The 19,326-nt window shown below is 39.1% G+C and overlaps 1 pseudogene, 2 gene segments (V, D, J or C) and 1 further gene, besides 12 other annotated features; all 4 read right to left on the bottom strand.

Annotated features, from left to right (window-relative positions):
• The window catches only part of TRA (T cell receptor alpha locus), a 930,229-nt gene that overhangs the window by 645,720 nt on the left and 265,183 nt on the right, over positions 1 to 19,326 (bottom strand).
• Positions 1,777 to 1,785: a recombination feature (nonamer).
• Positions 1,786 to 1,807: a recombination feature (spacer).
• On the bottom strand, positions 1,815 to 3,336 carry TRAV8-5 (T cell receptor alpha variable 8-5 (pseudogene); annotated as a pseudogene). Its single transcript is given in 2 exon segments — positions 1,815 to 3,182; positions 3,287 to 3,336. Coding segments are annotated over 2 exon segments (1,418 nt in total), but the record flags the coding sequence as incomplete, so codon positions are not given.
• Positions 3,172 to 3,182: a sequence feature (TRAV8-5 leader sequence).
• Positions 3,287 to 3,336: a sequence feature (TRAV8-5 leader sequence).
• Positions 11,345 to 11,353: a recombination feature (nonamer).
• Positions 11,354 to 11,375: a recombination feature (spacer).
• Positions 11,383 to 11,852, bottom strand: TRAV8-4 (T cell receptor alpha variable 8-4). The segment is given in 2 exon segments: positions 11,383 to 11,677; positions 11,807 to 11,852. Coding segments are annotated over 2 exon segments (341 nt in total), but the record flags the coding sequence as incomplete, so codon positions are not given.
• Positions 11,667 to 11,677: a sequence feature (TRAV8-4 leader sequence).
• Positions 11,807 to 11,852: a sequence feature (TRAV8-4 leader sequence).
• Positions 17,872 to 17,880: a recombination feature (nonamer).
• Positions 17,881 to 17,903: a recombination feature (spacer).
• Positions 17,911 to 18,454, bottom strand: TRAV12-2 (T cell receptor alpha variable 12-2). The segment is given in 2 exon segments: positions 17,911 to 18,201; positions 18,403 to 18,454. Coding segments are annotated over 2 exon segments (343 nt in total), but the record flags the coding sequence as incomplete, so codon positions are not given.
• Positions 18,188 to 18,201: a sequence feature (TRAV12-2 leader sequence).
• Positions 18,403 to 18,454: a sequence feature (TRAV12-2 leader sequence).

The raw sequence follows: 19,326 nt of genomic DNA, 5'->3' as shown, positions 1-19,326 counted from the left end.
CTGAGCTGATGACAATGAGTCACTTGAAATTATTTGCCTTATCAGTGGTAGATGAGAGTGTGGTCCAAAAACAGAAAAGAAGGAAGGGACTGAGGCAGGAACATTAAATGAGCATACATTTCTTTTTCATAATTTTATATATCTGACACTCCATTCACCTTCCTCACAGCATTCCAGAAATCGCTTAAACATATTTATCACATGTACTCATAACACTACATCCTAAAAAATACTGTTGATATCTTGGTTCACTATTTGGCTAAGGAGTGCCATTGGCCACAATTTACTTATTCGATCTATATTTTCAGGGTCCCTATGCACCTACCCTCTTAGACATTTATAGTGTGAGCTAAATGGCAGCTAAAGAGCTCTCTCCTTCTCCTTCTACTTTTCCTCCGAAGCACTGGTTATCCTCCGAGGCAGCAAGCAGACAAGGAGTATAAAATCTTCTTATACAGTTCTTTCCATTCTAGACATAAGAAAGTCACATATTTATACTTTCCAGCAGCCGCCTGGAATCCAGTACCATTGTAACTCTTATCCGTATTTCTAGCAGAGCTTGGCATTGCAAAACTTACCACATGACAGATTATCAAAATGTTACTATATAAGAATCAATCTTTGGCCAGGTACAGTGGCTCATGCTTGTAATCCTAGTACTTTGGGGGGCTGAGGTTGCAGGATTGCTTGAGCTCAGGAGTTTGAAACCAGCCTGGGCAACATAGTGAGATCTTGTCTCCACTAAAAATAAAAATTAAAAAAAAAATTAGCCAGGCATGGTGGTGCACACCTGTAGTCTCAGCTACTCAGGAAGCTGACTGAGGTGGGAGAATTGCTTGAGCCTGGGGGCATGGGTCAAGGCTGCAGTGAGCTATGATCATGCCACTGCATTCCAGCCTAGGTGAAAGAGTAAAACTCTATCTCAAAAAAGAGAATCAATCTTTAATATTTCAATAGTGAAACCATGTAACAACAGAGTGAAAGCAACAAGTAAAAGTGTCAGTAGCTAGAAGAGATGAATGGAATTCCATAGACAAACTTACAATGTAGATTTGCATAATTAATATACCAATAGAATAGAAGCTATTTTTATAACTGAAAAAGTCTTTGGAGAAACACTGATGAATTCTAAATCTTCATTCTCCTTGTGTGCTATTCCTAGTTGCCAGAACTCACATCACTGTGACAATTTTCTAAGTCCTTCGTGATTCTAATGAAACTTTCACTGTTAGCTAACAATTTCTCATAATTCCTCCTAAATAGAGGTATGAGACAAAATATCCTGAAATCTGAATTGCGCAGTTAGAGCCAGAAAAATAAATTCTAAGAAAATATCCTGTGAATGACCAGCTCAAGGATGCAACTTGCAAGGTAAGAACATGAGAAACTTATGTTTTGTTTTCTGGGTTAGTTGAGAGATTAAATGATAAATGAAAACCAAGGTTCTCCTAGACCATATCAAAATTCCCATAGTCAACCACTTAATGCAGTCACAGTCAAGGAAAGGTCCTTGAGAACCTGATTGTTAGGTGATAAGAAGTATGTCTCCTCCATCATTCTAGAATACTATTTCCTATTATGCAGTTTCTTCAATTAACAAAAAGCTTCTAAAACAAAGTTTATCTGACATGGGACATAGCAGGAATTGCAGAATTATATAGAAATGGCTGGATGTGCTCAGCTCTCTTTGCCTCACTCACCATCATAAAAATAAGAGATCTTTGAAAATGCCACAGGAAGATACATTGAGTCTCTGAAAACTTCTCTAGCATAGGCAGTTTGTGTTCAGCTCCCCTGCAGACCCAGGCACTGTGGTACCTGCAGCACAGAAGTACTCAGCAGCATCACTCCAATGCACAGAGGGTCTCCTCAGGTTGAAGGAAGATTGACTCCTCTTAAATTCAGCTTCAAAGCCTTCAATGCCTTGAACCAGAGTGTCTCCTGAAAAGTACTTTAGGAGCAGCTGGAGGCCTTGGCCGGGGGACTGGACATGCCAGAAGAGAGAAGGTGTTGCCGTATTGGGGAACCTGCCCCGATAGTCACATAGGTTCTTTTCTATTTTCCCTAAGTTTTGGCTGGCTTGAGAAATAAAGGGACAGAGTACAAAAGAGAGAAATTTTAAAGCTGGGAGTCCGGGGGAGAAATCACATGTCGGTAGGTTCCGTGATGCCCCACAAGCCGCAAAACCAGCAAGTTTTTATTACTGATTTTCAAAAGGGGAGGGAGTGTATGAATAGGTGTGGGTCACAGAGATCATGTACTTCACAAGGTAATAGAATATCACAAGGCAAATGGAGGCAGGGCGAGATCACAGGACCACAGGACTGGGGCGAAATTAAAATTGCTAATGAAGTTTCGGGCACCATTGTCATTGATAACATCTTATCAGGAGACAGGGTTTTGAGAGCAGCCAGTCTGACCAAAATTTATTAGGTGGGAATTTCCTCTTCCTAATAAGCCTGGGAGTGCTATGGGAGACTGGGATTTATTTCACCCCTACAGTTTTGACTATAGAAGATGGCCACACCCAAGGGGGCCGTCTATAGACCCACCCCCAGGCACGTATTCTCTTCCCCAGGGATGTTCCTTGCTGAGAAAAAGAATTCAGCCATATTTCTCCCATTTGCTTTTGAAAGAAGAGAAATATGGCTCTGTTCCGCCTGGCTCACTGGCAGTCAGAGTTTAAGGTTATCTCTCTTATTCCCTGAACATTGCTGTTATCCTGTTCTTTTTTCAAGGTGCCCAGATTTCATATTGTTTGAACACACATGCTCTATAATTTGTGCAGTTAACACAATTATCACAGGGTCCTGAGGTGACATACATCCTCCTCAGCTGACAGGATTAAGAGATTAAAGTAAAGACAGGCATAGGAAATCACAGGGGTATTGATTGGGGAAGTGATAAGTGTCCATGAAATCTTTACAATTTATGTTTAGAGATTGCAGTAAAGAGAGGCATAAGAAATTATAAAAGTATTAATTTGGGGAACTAATAAATGTCCATGAAATCTTCACAATCCACATTCTTCTGCCATGGCTTCAGCCGGTCCCTCCGTTTGGGGTCCCTGACTTCCCACAACATCGCCCCATAGGAATAGTTACATCTCAACTCCAGTGAGGCTCCTTCAGAGACAGTGATGCGGATGTCAGGCTGGGTCACTGACTGGGCTCTGACAGTTCCTGAAAAAGTAATGTACTATCAGTGAAAGCAGTGCAGACTCAGTATAAAAAGCAAGCATTTCTAGTCAGAACCTGTGGAACTAGAGATGATAAAGAAATTTTACTCACTCAGGACAAAATGTATCCCCAGCAGTGGGATGAGCACCAGGAGCATGGCTGAGCAATGGAAACACTGCAGGCTCTTTTCTGCAAGATCTCCAGAGAACAGGAAGGAAAGCGGCTGAAGAGACCAAGAACAAGAAGTGTGGGGAAGGTTTGCTGGACAAGCTCTTTGTTTATATAAAACTACAAAAGCTGCAGAGATGAATCTGGTTGCTTTTAAAACTCTGATTCTTGTCACTTGTCTTTGTCTGGAAAGAACTCAACCAGCTGCAGGAAGAAGAAACTGAGCAGTGGACTGATCTTCAACAGAAACAAAAGCTCCAGTGTGTGCAGCATCGCTCTCTGGAGGCCAAGTGCAGAACCAGAGTTTAGCACAGACTGTTCATTAGTGTGTTCTTCCTGTTTTCTGAGATGTATCAAAACTTCCACAAGACGTGTTTCTTCCTGACCAAATCTATGATGGTGTTTTAGTCCTAGAGTCCATTAGCAATAAGATTTCATGTAAAGATGGAGTAATACATCAAGAGGAATCGTTATTGAAAAGCATATCAGAATTTAGATATGAGTCCATGAGAGTTTGGGTTCAGACCAATTGCCCTGGACTGAGTTTTGGATGGTTCAGTGTTGCCACAGTGCTGATGGAGGATGGTAGAGATATTTCCCTCGGATGATGCTTGTGCAGCCATAGAGGAAAAGATTTCACATAAGGAGAGTAGTGCCTCCATGCAACTAATGACAAGGCGTAACTCATGATGGGAAGGCTTTGCCTCTAGGGGTAAAGAAAATAAAACTACAGACACCTGTGGGGCTGAAGGAAATACAACCACACCAAGCGAGAAATAAAAGTTGAAATTTAAAAATAAAAACAAATAATAATAAATGTAGATAGTGCATGGGGAAAAAAATAAAACTCTGAAAACACGAGAATGCAGAAAGTCACTGCTTTCTCTGTGGCTAATGGGACCCTTGACAAAGTCAGAATACTTCTTTCCTTTGATTTGAAAGCATAAGCCCAGTTCTCTCCTTGGGTTCTTGATTCATTTGTTCCTGTTGGAAAAGATTTTCTTGAATGAAGAAAATTGAGTAATGCTGTCATTTTGTAAAAGTGTAGCCTTTGAGTGTGAACTTCTAATCCTAATGCTATATGCTCATTTCCCTTCTCTTGAATATTTCTTCCTAAATTAAAGAATAGAAATAAAATGGAAATAGACTAAAATTCACAAGAGTAAAAAAAAAATGAAGGTCATCTGGTGAGGAAAGGGTGACACATATTTCTAGGACACAGAAAGTAGGTGGGATCATATTGAAGATTAAAGTCAGAGCAGAAAAAAAATTGGAAAATAAGCTATAAGGAGCAACTCCTTCTGAATTTCAGAATGGTGGTCATTTTAACTTTTCTCAAAGTTGCTGAGCATTTGCAAAGCCCAGTATGTTCAAAGTCAAAGGCCATAGGATTGTGTGATGTCTTGGAACATTGCCTTTTGCTCTGCACTGGAAGAATGTAAAGGAATTCTTCAATCCTCTATAGTAGTAGAAGCAACACCTCTTAGTTAAATAAGAATAAGATCATAAATAGAATATTCTCACTTAAGGGTGTTGGCAGCATTCTAAGAAATACATGATTTCCCGGAAGATTTAAGGGTCTCCAAACACAGCCCCAAATACCAAAATACATGTTTCATTTAAAAGAAGCAAAAAGTCAGAAATGAAAAAAATAGAGAAAATTAAAAACTAATCAGCTCTGTTTTATGTACTAAAAAAAATAGTGTTTGAATAGTCCTACTATGCCTTAACATACTCTTAAATCCAGATATAATTCAGAATACAAAAATTTTTAGACTTTAGGAAAAAATATAGTACTTGAATTATTTATAAAAACAAGTATGCATTCTCAATTCTTTTGCACCAAAGAAAGACCTTCATAAATTTGGAAAATAAGAAATGAAATATCAAAAAAATTTAAGAGCTTAATTAAATGGTCTTATAATCTTGATGAGAAAAATTTGCAAATATAAAAAATGAATTAGATTAACTAAAAAGGGTAATACAACTAAAGATGGTGGTAAAAGCACACGCCAAATAGCCATTCTTGATTAATATTATCGAGAACCACAAATTAATGCAGGACCACAGTAGAATAGGAGATAACTTTAAGATACCTACGGCCAATCTCTGCCATGGATTGTAAGTAAAAACTGAACAAAATAAAAAATAAATAAACAATAAAAAAATTTAAAAAAAGAAACTACCTGTGGACTCTGAAATTACCCAAAAGCTAGCAGATTGTGTAGGGAAGTCAAAAATTGGAGAAACAACCTGCACAAGGGTGAATTTCATATTTTTTCTGTTTCTTTCTCTTGGCTTTGCCCTGAGGGAGGCCCCAATGCACACAGCAATATGATAATGGTGTAGGAAGTCAAAACTCTGCAAGAAACACAATTTTCTGCCTCTGTGGGTCAGGCTAGAAAAGGGAGACCCTAGGGAAGAGATGGAAAATAGTTTAAGTCTCAGGCTAATCCCAAGGCTCTACATACGTGAAACTGACTCAAACCAGAACAACAAATTTTAGGTTACTTAACTGATATTTGAACCACTATTCCAGTCTCAGACTACCCCCAAGTGGCACCCATGCAGGACAAACTAAAACCAATGTAGCAGAGAGTTCAGGAACTGACCTGAGATTTGAGCCATGCAAACTGGTTTCACTAATCCCTGAGCTACACACGACAGGTATAAACCCAAACCAACATGGCAAATGATTAGAGAACTGAACTGTGATTTTGAGCTACCAAATTCCACAAAAGGGGAGACACAACTAGTAGTATAAACCAAACTAGGTTGATTTTCTCCTCAAATAAAAACATTAACATTCTTTAGATGATTGTTTTTTAAAGAAGAAGAAGGAAGAGGAGGAGAAAACAGAGTGTACACACATAATATTTGAAATGTTTAAGATGTACTTCAAAATTATTTGACAAAGGGCCAGAAAAATGAACTAATATTTAAGTAAAAGATCAACAAATTCAAATACCAAGATGACTAAGATACTAAAACTCATAGAAAAAGATGTCAAAGTAGCTCTTTTGATTATGTTCCACAAAGTAAAGAAAAAAATAGAAATTGAACAGAAAAATACAATATCAAAAATAAAAATCTTACAGTAAGGGCTCAGTAGCAAAATGATAGAGGAAAGCATATGCAAAATTGAAAAAGATCAATACAGATTATTTAATCCAATTAATTTTGACTTTGTCTTCCCCCAGGAGACATTTGGCAAATCTGGACACAATTTTGGCCTTCACAACTTGGGGTATGTAGTGCTACAGGCATCTAGTGTGGAGAAGCCAGTGGTGTTGTTAAAAATTCTACAACACACAGGGCAGCCCCACACCCCAATAAAAAATTATGAGGACCAAAATGTCAGTAGTGCCAAGGTCAGGAAACACTGACAAACCTTAAAATCAATTTGAAAATTGAAAGAAAAAAAGGCAGAGCCCTGGAGACCTGTGGGAAAATATTCGAAAGTCTAAGTTATATCTAACTGGAGTCCTAGAGGGAGAGAAGAAAGATATTGGGTCAGAAAACATATTTGAAGAAAGAATGGCCAAAAGCTTGCCAAATTCAGTGAAAGACATACATTTATCTTTTTTTTATTATTATACTTTAAGTTTTAGGGTACATGTGCACATTGTGCAGGTTAGTCACATATGTATACACGTGCCATGCTGGTGTACTGCACCCACTAACTTGTCATCTAACATTAGGTATCTCTCCCAATGCTATCCCTCCCCCCTCCCCCCACCCCACCACAGTTCCCAGAGTGTGATATTCCCCTTCCTGTGACCATGTGATCTCATTGTTCAGTTCCCACCTATGAGTGAGAATATGTGGTGTTTGGTTTTTTGTTCTTGTGATAGTTTACTGAGAATGATGATTTCCAATTTCATCCATGTCCCTACAAAGGACATGAACTCATCCTTTTTTATGGCTGCATAGTATTCTATGGTGTATATGTGCCACATTTTCTTAATCCAGTCTATCATTGTTGGACATTTGGGTTGGTTCCAAGTCTTTGCTATTGTGAATAATGCCGCAATAAACATATGTGTGCATGTGTCTTTATAGCAGCATGATTTATAGTCCTTTGGATATATACCCAGTAATGGGATGGCTGGGTCAAATGGTATTTCTAGTTCTAGATCCCTGAGGAATCACCACACTGACTTCCACAACGGTTGAACTAGTTTACAGTCCCACCAACAGTGTAAAAGTGTTCCTATTTCTCCACATCCTCTCCAGCACCTGTTGTTTCCTGACTTTTTAATGATTGCCATTCTAACTGGTGTGAGATGGTATCTCATTGTGGTTTTGATTTGCATTTCTCTGATGGCCAGTGATGATGAGCATTTTTTCATGTGTTTTTTGGCTGCATAAATATCTTCTTTTGAGAAGTGTCTGTTCATGTCCTTCGCCCACTTTTTGATGGGGTTGTTTGTTTTTTTCCTGTAAATTTGTTTGAGTTCATTATAGATTCTGGATATTAGCCCTTTGTCAGACGAGTAGGTTGCGAAAATTTTCTCCCATTTTTTAGGTTGCCTGTTCACTCTGATGACAGTTTATTTTGCTGTGCAGAAGCTCTTTAGTTTCATTAGATCCCATTTGTCAATTCTGGCTTTTGTTGCCATTGCTTTTGGTGTTTTAGACATGAAGTCCTTGCCCATGCCTATGTCCTGAATGGTACTGCCTAGGTTTTCTTCTAGGGTTTTTATGGTTTTAGAACTAACGTTTAAGTCTTTAATCCATCTTGAATTGATTTTTGTATAAGGTGTAAGGAAGGGATCCAGTTTCAGCTTTCTACATATGGCTAGCCAGTTTTCCCAGCACCATTTATTAAATAGGGAATCCTTTCCCCATTGCTTGTTTTTCTCAGGTTTGTCAAAGATTAGATAGTTGTAGATATGCGGCATTATTTCTGAGGGCTCTGTTCTGTTCCATTGATCTATATCTCTGTTTTGGTACCAGTACCATGCTGTTTTGGTTACTGTAGCCTTGTAGTATAGTTTGAAGTCAGGTAGTGTGATGCCTCCAGCTTTGTTCTTTTGGCTTAGGATTGCCTTGGCGATGCGGGCTCTTTTTTGGTTCCATATGAACTTTAAAGTAGTTTTTTCCAATTCTGTGAAGAAAGTCATTGGTAGCTTGATGGGGATGGCATTGAATCTATAAATTACCTTGGGCAGTATGGCCATTTTCACAATATTGATTCTTCCTATCCATGAGCACGGAATGTTCTTCCATTTGTTTGTATCCTCTTTTATTTCCTTGAGCAGTGGTTTGTAGTTCTCCTTGAAGAGGTCCTTCACATCCCTTGTAAGTTGGAGTCCTAGGTATTTTATTCTCTTTGAAGCAATTGTGAATGGGAGTTCACTCATGATTTGGCTCTCTGTTTGTCTGTTATTGGTGTATAAGAATGCTTGTGATTTTTGTACATTGATTTTGTATCCTGAGACTTTGCTGAAGTAGCTTATCAGCTTAAGGAGATTTTGGGCTGAGACGATGGGGTTTTCTAGATATACAATCATGTCGTCTGCAAACAGGGACAATTTGACTTCCTCTTTTCCTAATTGAATACCCTTTATTTCCTTCTCCTGCCTGATTGCCCTGGCCAGAACTTCCAACACTATGTTGAATAGGAGTGGCGAGAGAGGGCATCCCTGTCTTGTGCCAGTTTTCAAAGGGAATGCTTCCAGTTTTTGCCCATTCAGTATGATATTGGCTGTGGGTTTGTCATAGATAGCTCTTATTATTTTGAAATACGTCCCATCAATACCTAATTTATTGAGAGTTTTTAGCATGAAGCGTTATTGAATTTTGTCAAAGGCTTTTTCTGCATCTATTGAGATAATCATGTGGTTTTTGTCTTTGGCTCTGTTTATATGCTGGATTACACTTATTGATTTGCGTATATTGAACCAGCCTTGCATCCCAGGGATGAAGCCCACTTGATCATGGTGGATAAGCTTTTTGATGTGCTGCTGGATTCGTTTTGCCAGTATTTTATCGAGGATTTTTGCATCAATGTTCATCAAGGATATTGGTCTAAAATTCTCTTTTTTGGTTGTGTCTCTGCCCGGCTTTGGTATCAGAATGATGCTGGCCTCATAAAATGATTTAGGGAGGATTCCCTCTTTTTCTATTGATTGGAATAGTTTCAGAAGGAATGGTACCAGTTCCTCCTTGTACCTCTGGTAGAATTCGGCTGTGAATCCATCTGGTCCTGGACTCTTTTTAGTTGGTAAACTATTGATTATTGCCACAATTTCAGCTCCTGTTATTGGTCTATTCAGAGATTCAACTTCTTCCTGGTTTAGTCTTGGGAGAGTGTATGTGTCGAGGAATTTATCCATTTCTTCTAGATTTTCTAGTTTATTTGCGTAGAGGTGTTTGTAGTATTCTCTGATGGTAGTTTGTATTTCTGTGGGATCGGTGGTGATATCCCCTTTATCATTTTTTATTGTGTCTATTTGATTCTTCTCTCGAAAGACATACATTTATCAATTCAAGCCCCAAACAAGGTAAAATCAAAGAGAACCACACCTAAACACATTATGATTAAACCACTGACAACAAAAGATTGTATAATTTTTCATGTGTTTGTGTGTGTGTGTGTGTGTGTATGTGTGTACATAGCTTATATATGAAGCAGCTAGAGAAAAACAATATATTACATCATTGAAGGACAATTACTTGAATGGCAATGGATTTCTATTAGAAAGCATGGAGGCCAAAAGACAATGAAATGGTATCTTTAAAGCGGGAGGGGTGGAAGGGTTGACACAGAATTACAGACCCAGTAAAAACTATCTTCCAGAAATAAAAGGCAAGTTAAAAATACATTTTCAGGTAATGAACAAATGAAAAATATGTTTCCCAGCAAATCTGCTCTAGAAGAAATGCTAAAGGGAGTTTTTAAGTTTGAAGGGAATTTCAGTTATATCCCCTGGTATCAGAGAAAATCCAGATCTTCAGGAACAAAGGAAGGATACCAGAAATGATAAATAGCTGTTAAGTATAAAATAGTTCTTATTCTTCCCCTTAAATTTTATAAAGTGCATATAATTGTTGAAAGCAAAAATTATAACATTATATGGTGAAGTTTTCTATATATTGTGATTTTTAAAAAAAAAAATTGAGACAAGGATCTCGCTCTATTGCTTAAGCTGGAATACAGTGGCATGATGGTAGCTAACTGCAGCCTCGAACTCCTGGGCTCAAGCTATCATAATGCTTCAACCTGCCGAGTAGTTGAGGCTACAGATGAGTGCCATCATACCCAGCTATTTTTTTTATATTTCATAGAGATGGGGGTCTCACTTTGTTTCAGGATGGTCTGAAACCCCTGAGTTCAAGCAATCCTCCCATCTCTGCCTCCCAAAGTGTTGGGATTACAAACATGAGCCACTGTGCCAGGCCTGGTGAAGTTTTCAATGTATGTGACTAATATATATGAACAACAATAACAAACTTTAGTGTTGGTAGATAAAGAGACGTTGTGTAAGATTTTGACATTTCACATAAGGAGGTACAGTATTTGCTCACATAAGACCCTGGATATTTAGGCATGTACATTGCCATCTTCAGAGCAACTACTCAAAAAGTACAGAGTTATAGCCAAAAAGTTCATAAATAAATTAAAATGTAAATTGAAAAGTATTTAAATAATCCAAAAGGAGTCAGAAAAAAAGAACAAAAAAAGGAACATGGGTGAAACACAATAATGAAGTATACTTAAATCCAACCTGATTGATATTTATATTCCATTTTAATTATCTAAACTTCACAATGCAAAAACAGAGATTAACAAAGTAGATAAAAAGAAAAGATGGTCTTTTATGCTACCTACAGGAAACACACTTTAAAGTCACAGATAGTTTAAAAATAAATAGATGAAAAAGATACAGCATACATCAATAAGCATCAGAAACTTGGAAATGCTATTTAATATTATAAAACAGACTTCAAGGTTGAGTTCTTGAGTCACAGAAAGTCTCAGCATCTCAGGAGGTTTATGTTCACCTCTCCTGCAGTCTCAAGCACTGTGTCACTCACAGCACAGAAGTACTCAGCCGCGTCGCTCATATGGGCTGAGGGTTTCGTCAGGTGGAAGGAGGTTTCACTCTTCTTAAATTCAGCCTCAAAACCGTTGATGCCTTTAACCAGGGTGGCCGCTGATGTGTACTTCAGGAGAAGCTGGAGTCCTTGGTTGGGGTATTGCACATACCAGAAGAGATATGGTGGAACAGACGATGAGTAGTTGCACCTCAGCAGAACCAGGGCTCCTTCAGAGACAGAGACGTGGCTGCCAAGCTGGGTCACCGACTGGGCTCTGGTTCCTCCTGCAACACCAATGCTGTGTAAGTAAAGGCAGCACAGACTTTGCTATGAAGAAAAGATGTCTCTATTCAGAAAAAATTACAACACAGTCACATTTACAAAAGGAAGAAAGGTAATGGAATGTTACTAACCCAGGGTAAAAATCACCTCGAGCACTGGGACGAGCAGCAGGAGCATGGCTGAGCAGTGGCCACGCTGGAGGGCCCTGAGCAGAGCGGACAGAAGCCAAGGGCCCTGAGCCTCAGGAGCTAGGAGCAGCAGGCAGGTTAGGCTGGACAAGTCTCTGCCTTTGAAGGGTTTCAAAAATGGTTAAAGAAAGGCTTTCTCTTAAGGAGCCTGGATGTGTTCTGACCTCTTGTTCTCATCACAGCTCCCTATCTACACAGACACCAGTGAGCTACATCAGCCAGCTGCAGGGAGGAGGCTCAGTGGATGAGGATGGTCGGCAATGAACACAGATGCCTCCTTAGTGCAACGTCGCCCCCTGAAGGCCACAGGCGAAACCACGGATCCAAGGAAGTGAACTGTTTGCTTCTCATTTGAGAAATGTGGTATCAAAACCAACAGAAAGTGTTTCTTTCTTCCCAAATCTGTGATGACGTCACCTTCTGTAGAGTACATGGTTTTAATCCTAAATACATGAGAAATGAGAGTAATGTAAAAATAGAAGACTAATTTACTTTACTGAGCAACTAGTCACAGAAGACAACATTCTAGACTTTGGAATACCATTGAGACACTCTATATTATTTTGTAAAACCATTCATCAAGGAGAAGGGAGGTGATCAGTTGCCTCAGTCTGGGCTGAGTTTCATATGGCCCTGTGTTTCTGAATGTCAGCATTACGGTGGGTGAAAGAGATTATTCCTTATTTGATTCTTAAAAAAATAAACAAACTAGACCTGAGTCTCATACTTAAAATCAGCATGGATCACATGTCACTAATTAATTAATCAAAGCAAACAAATAAAGCAAAATTTTTTTTGTTAAGCAAAAATGTTAAAGAGGCCCCTTGGTTTCAGGTCAATAACTTCGATATTTGTAACTCTAGGAAAAAACAACTTAGGTACTTCATGTTTAAAAAGAATCATGTTCCAATTGTCAAAGCTCCTACAGTCTGATACATCATGCCAAATTATATCTCACACTAAAAAGAACATTAACAGAGGCCCATCTATGGAAAAACTTGAGTGGAATGATGAGTGTAAGAAAATATAACAAATAAATAATCCTGGGAAGAGTTAGGAAAAGAAAAGTAAAATAAACCTGTGTTAACTCAGAAAATTGGGAGGAATGCAACCAGCAGACAAGAAATGAGAGGACCTTGTGGGAGGTATAGAAAATCTGGGAGAGATTGACAGTGATACTCAACAGAGCTAGGCAAGCAGTAGTCCCCTGTGAGTGGGAGATAGGCTGTATTGAACTGGAGCGGTCGCCTCTGGCCTAAAAAGATGAAACTCTTGAATAAGAAGCCATCTTCATCCAACTTATTTTAGCATAGAGATCATTGGACCCTAAAACTTAAAAAACCAAATGAGGAGAGAAATCTCAGGTGAAATGAGAACCTGGCCAACAAGGATTCTTTTCACAAGGTCAGAACAAAATCCCTCCTTTCTGTGTACTCTGTTCACTCACGCCAGCCTGAAATCAGTTCTCCCTTGCACTTCTGATCTATTCCTTGATTCTGCCTATAGATTTTTTATGTGTAAGACAAAATCATATAGCCAGTTTGAACATTTAAATGTTACTAGGATGTGCTTCTGATTCAAAATTCCTAAGAAGCATATGTATTCTCGTCTTATCTTTCCAATATTCCCACTGAAATAAAATTTAGAAGTATAAAAAGAATGACTTGAATCCATAATGGTAAAAGTAATAATGAAAAGATGAAAGCTATCACAATTCCCATGAAATGAAAAGTAGATGTGAGCACACTGATGGATGAAACAGAGAAGGGGGAGAAGTCCAGCCCAGAATGAACTATGAGAAGATTGCAGTGGAAATGCAAGTGAAGGGAACCTACTGGGTGAGACCCTGGAGAGGTTCCGGGTTGAGAAAGAAAGTAGGTGATGGAGAGTGGGAAGAACAGAACACAAGAGAACATACTGAAGGTCCACACATGGAATAGCTACACTAGCCTCCCTCCGTTCTCACCATCCTGCTTCTGTACTTGTGTGTGATAGGCATAGTAAGCCAACTTTTACTTGGGTATTTAATTTTCACAAGAGTTTAAATGAACCGCTGGGATTACTGCAGTTTTATTATGAGTGGTTGACAGAATTAGGCCATCTTCAATGATATTAGGTGCAAGGAACAAAGAGGAGCAACTTAATTACCACTTCCCTGTTCATTCATCCTAAAAAGAAGCCTGCCAAATCACATGATATGCCCACATACCCACACTACTGGCCAGGCACCCCATTCCAGAAGAAACCTTGTGGGGAACATGGGCACAGTGACATGAAGAGTCCATCCTGTTACCCAGTCCTCCATTCTTAAATACAAATTAATAACAAAATAGCATTAATCATGTATAAGTATAGATGGGATCTCTTTCTGTTGTTGTCTCTATACATGGAAGCCCAGAGTCATGAACTGTGAATCATCAGAGTCATTTCTACCTCAATACAAAGTGATGAACAGAATGTCATGTAATCATTCTCAAAAGGAAGTAAGATAACATAGTGGTTCCTTAGTCATTATTCTTAAAATATCTTGAGTTTTAGCTTTGAATAATATTTCTTTACCTTTATTTAGATGCTTTCTGTTAAGAAGTGCTTTAGCCTGAGGGAACATAGAAGACCGGTCAATAGGTGCAGGAAACCACCATGACACATGTATACATATGTAACAAACTGCATGTTCTGCACATGTATCCTGTTTTTTTTTAGAAGAAATAAAGAAAAAAATAAAAATATATAAAAAATAAAATCACTACATGTGATTAGTGCAAAAAAAAAAAAAAAAAAGAAGAAGAAGAAGTGCTTTAACCTAACATTATTTCAACTCTTCAAGATCGGGAAAGCCAGCTATATAAACTCCTTCAAATGGAGAATGAAATTAAAATTCAGAATATAATTACAAAGTCTATTATTTCTTGAATGCTGCCCATATGCCAGGTGAGTTCCATGTTAATAGTGAACACTGCTTGTGCCCAGCCAAGATCCCCTTTCCCAGGACAGTGTCGCCATCCCCAGCTACTGTCATGGCTTTTTTCTTCCTGTAGTTCGGAGAGCAGGAGGAAATGGCATCCAGAGGCTTTTCCACTCCCGTAGTTCAGCGAGTGGGAGAGGGTGTTACAGCTCTTTTCACTCCCACAGTTCGGTGGATTCCAGATTCTTGTCCCACTGGCCAAGAGGAATGAGGTACACAGACACCAAAGAGTGAGCAAGGCAGAGGAGAATTTTACTGAGTGACAGGAAACCTCTGGTAAGCAAGACGGGACCCAAAGTGTGTAGCCCTCTGTGAGGCTAAGGCCGAGTGTTTTTATGGGCTTAGAATGGGGGAGTGCATGCTGATTGGTCCATAGGTGGTCTTGGAAAAAGCACCATTTGATTGGTTAAAAGGCATCATCCAGAAGGAACCAATCGAGAGAGTGGGCAAGAGTGGGGATTCAAGTTCTCACTCTGGCTATGTATTCTATCCAGAACTGGCAGATCGGTTTTAAGGCTTTGAACTGTCCTTGGCTTGAAGGCCGGGTTTCACCGGGGATCTGTCCATGTCTGCGTAGGAATTTGTCTGTCTCCTGTCGCTATTACTGTTGGGAATGTTGGCTACTCTCAGCTCACAGTTGCCCCTTTCCCTAGAAAATCGACCTCTGCCAATGAGAGTCATCATTGTCCAGTAGAGTATACCTCTACCCCAAGAAACACCACAGCCAATGACGACTTTATTCTTACGTACAATAGGTCAGCATTCTGGCCCCCTTGCCTCAGTGTGGAAAGGATCAATCCTGTGATGCAATTCATGCTCCAGAGCTCCCATGAGGTCAGGGTGGATAAAGACTCCACTAGCTGGCACGTTTATGCTTAGCCTTTTCCCATCTCGACCCGGTTTTCTCAATCAATTATGGATAAAGAATTTCCAATTCAGGCTCTGCTTCTAATGAACTTATCCCAAGACAATATTTCATCTCATTTAATCCTAAATCCAAACCTGAAATATATATAATAGTACAGCTTAATATAAACGGCCTGTTAGCAACATAATTGATATTCAAACGAGCATGGCAGCCCAGGGTCTTTCCAGAGTGCCAGGGTGCCTGAAGGCATATGATAAAAGTGGCACTAAAATTTAAGTATTTTTATTTCAGTACAACTTTCTGATCATCCTCACTGCCTTACAAATCTTACATGACTTGGAAAAATTTCTTAAATCTTCAGTTCTGTAAATTAACAGTTTGAAGCAACTGTTGATTGGCTTGCATCTTTCATCAGTAACTACGTGAACTAACTGAATAGAAATCTTGATTCTTCATTTCCAAAATTTTTCCACCTCCTGTACTACCTAAACAATGTCATGACTAACAGTCCACAAATTCGGTTTTACAATAAATGTCACTTTTCAAGCTTTTTCCTATAACTCAATGTACTAAATATTAAATGGCATTATTTTCATTAGGAAGTAAATATTTTTCGTGGACTTGGCATACATTGCAGGACAAATCTATAATGCCAGGTAGTCAGCGGAGGGAGGCATTTATATGCTGTTCAGCATTTCCAACTCTCCTGACGAAAATTTGCTGAAACATTCTCAATACCATATAGTCTTTGGGAATTGATTCACACAGGTCTTTGCTCATTATACTAAAACCCCTTAGTGTCTGGACCTCTTTAAGATACTTACTCAGAGATCCTTCTCAATGAATTTTAGATTGTTCCATGCTCCCATGCCCTGACTGGAGATATGGCATGCTGTGGCTAGGGCTAATGCTCCCTATCATCTCCAAGCCACACTTAAGTACAAAGGTATTAATATATTCTTTTACAAGGCTCAAGCCAGGAGTTTTGAGTTCAGTTCAGACTTTACCCCAAAATGGCAACATAGACCTTTTCTAATATTTAGTCACTGCAACTATCTAGACTTCTAGTTTTAACCAGGTCTTACCCTCTGACTGTAGTTCTTCCATCTATCCATGAAATATACCCTTACATAAATCAGGAGTAGTGCTGTGGCTGAGGCTGGAGATGAGGTGAGGTTTCTATAATTAAAAGAATTTTTGGCTGGGGGTGGTGGCTCACACCTGTAATCCCAGCACTTTGGGAGGCTGAGGCGGGCAGATCACGAGGTCAAGAGATCGAGACCATCCTGGCTAACACGGTGAAACCACGTTTCTACTAAAAAAAAAAATACAAAACATTAGCCGGGCATGGTGGCCGGTGTGGTGGCAGGCGCCTGTATTCCCAGCTACTCGGGAGGCTGGGACAGGAGAATGGCGTGAACCTGGAAGGCGGAGCTTACAGTGAGCCCAGATCGCGCCACTGCACTCCAGCCTGGGCGACAGAGCCAGACTCCATCTCAAAAAAAAAAAAAAAAAGAATTTTTGACTTGTAGAATTTTTGAAGTCATTTGTTTGTGAGTTTTTCTCTGCTTTGCATTCCTGTTTTGCTGTTGCATTCCCAAATTAATGACTTTCAAACACTTTGAGTAACTAAAGAAGGAAAGACGAAGGTGTCCTGGGAACTATGAGAGAATATCTGTCATTGTGTGAAAATATTTTCTTGTTATGTAATTTAAAAACCATAAAACCAATCTCATAAAGAGGTGGCATAAAACTAGACTGAGCATCGGGATGTATACATTAAATATGTGTGCCTTTTTATATAGCAATCATACCTCAATTTTTAAAAAAGGAGGGAGGAAGTAAACTTTTAGAAATTATGGATATGTTATGGCATAGTTTGTGCTGTATGTATAAAGTAAATACACATACTTTTTTGTTTATCAGTCAGACCTCAATTAAAAAAATATTTAAAACTATAGTGGAAAAACAGGACTAAAAAATATGTCAACCAGACCAAGATTTTTGTTTTTATTTTTTTCAGGGTTTCAATTATTTTCAGAATTATGAAAATACTTCCCTAATTAATTAATCCTCCATACTGGTTCTTATAATTTCCACTTGAAACTAGAGAGCAAGGGGAGTTTCACTACCCTGCAGTCTAAGCTCTACATCAGGCATTCCTGGGGCATGGCAGGTTTGGGTACAGACTGCAGGTGTCTGGGGAGCACTGTGTGTTCACGGCACAGAGGTAGGTGGCTGAATCACTGGGCTGGGAGTCTCTGATGAGCAGAGAAACATACTGGCTGGCTTTATTGAGCTGTGCTGTAAACCTTCCATCTTCTTTGTCACCATTGGAGTATATGAACATTATCAACTCAGGGCTTTTCCCAGAATATTGTCTGTACCAGAAGAAGGACTGGGAACCTCGGTCACTGTAAGTGCAGTTGAGAGAGGCAATGGCTCCCTCTGGAACACTGAGGGGTCCAGAATTCTGCTCCACCTCCTTCTGTTGGCTCCAAACCCCTGTGAAAAAGACAGTGGTCAGACAGAGAAGACTGGCTGGGTAATAGATGCTTACTCCCCAGAATTTAAATCCTCTTTTCACTGGTGCCCCTACTTTCCCTTAGTTAGAAAAAAAATCATGCTTCTACCTATAGATCTAGAATAGACAGTAACTCCAGATACTGTACATTATTTTCCTATATAAAGATGCCCCAAACTCACAGCTCAACTGAAGCCACAGGATCACTAGTAAAACTCTCAAGGATTTCATCATTCTTCTCTGCCCTGGTTCACTGAGGATTCAAATTTTAAACCCTTAAAAAATGCACCTAGAATGGATATTTCTACTTTAAAAATCATAAAAAGAATCTGCTTTACCAGTTCAAAAAAATGATGCTCTTTTTAACACCCCTAATTCACCACTAAGCCCCTCCCCTCATCCTTCCTCCTCCTCCTCCTCCTCCTCTCTCTCTCTCTCTCACACACACACACACACACACACACACACACACACACACACGAGCACTTGAGAGCTGTCCTCAAGGTCCCTAAGAACACACTGCCATCTTGTGGAATCATGATAGTGATCAAACATATACTCAAAATGTAGAGCCTTATTATGTAAACAAGTCACTTTAAAAATCTGACACATCAGTTAAAAATTTGAGAAGCAAATGCTCCAAGTTAATGTCTGTGGGGATGTTTATGTGTGTATGTGTATGATATCAAATGGCAATTGTTGTATGAGTAAGAGCAGTTGTTTCTAATAGCCACTTTCCTACACTGAAATAACAGTCATGAAGTATTCTATTATAAAAATTTAGGTGAGATTCTTGCAATTCAAGGAGCATTTCACATTGCATAGCTCTTCATGTCAGGCCACACATCCCTATACCATTCTGTTATCTCCAATTTTTAAAGAAGTTTCTTGTAATTCAAAATAATTCTTTCAAAACAGAATGACCTAAAATCTAGCTTAACAAGCATGGTTCTAGCTCACAGCCTTAGCAACATTTTTTAACAAGACCAGGGAATAGAGGGGCTTGGGAATAGCCATTGCATCTTGCACCAATGACACATGCATGTCAAAACAGTACTTACATGGGTTGGTATAATAGAGATAAACCTGCCTTCAGTACATAGCCT

This window comes from Homo sapiens, chromosome 14 (assembly GCF_000001405.40).
Source record: "Homo sapiens chromosome 14, GRCh38.p14 Primary Assembly".
NCBI lineage: Eukaryota > Metazoa > Chordata > Mammalia > Primates > Hominidae > Homo > Homo sapiens.
This window is presented reverse-complemented; position numbering and strand designations above follow the sequence as displayed.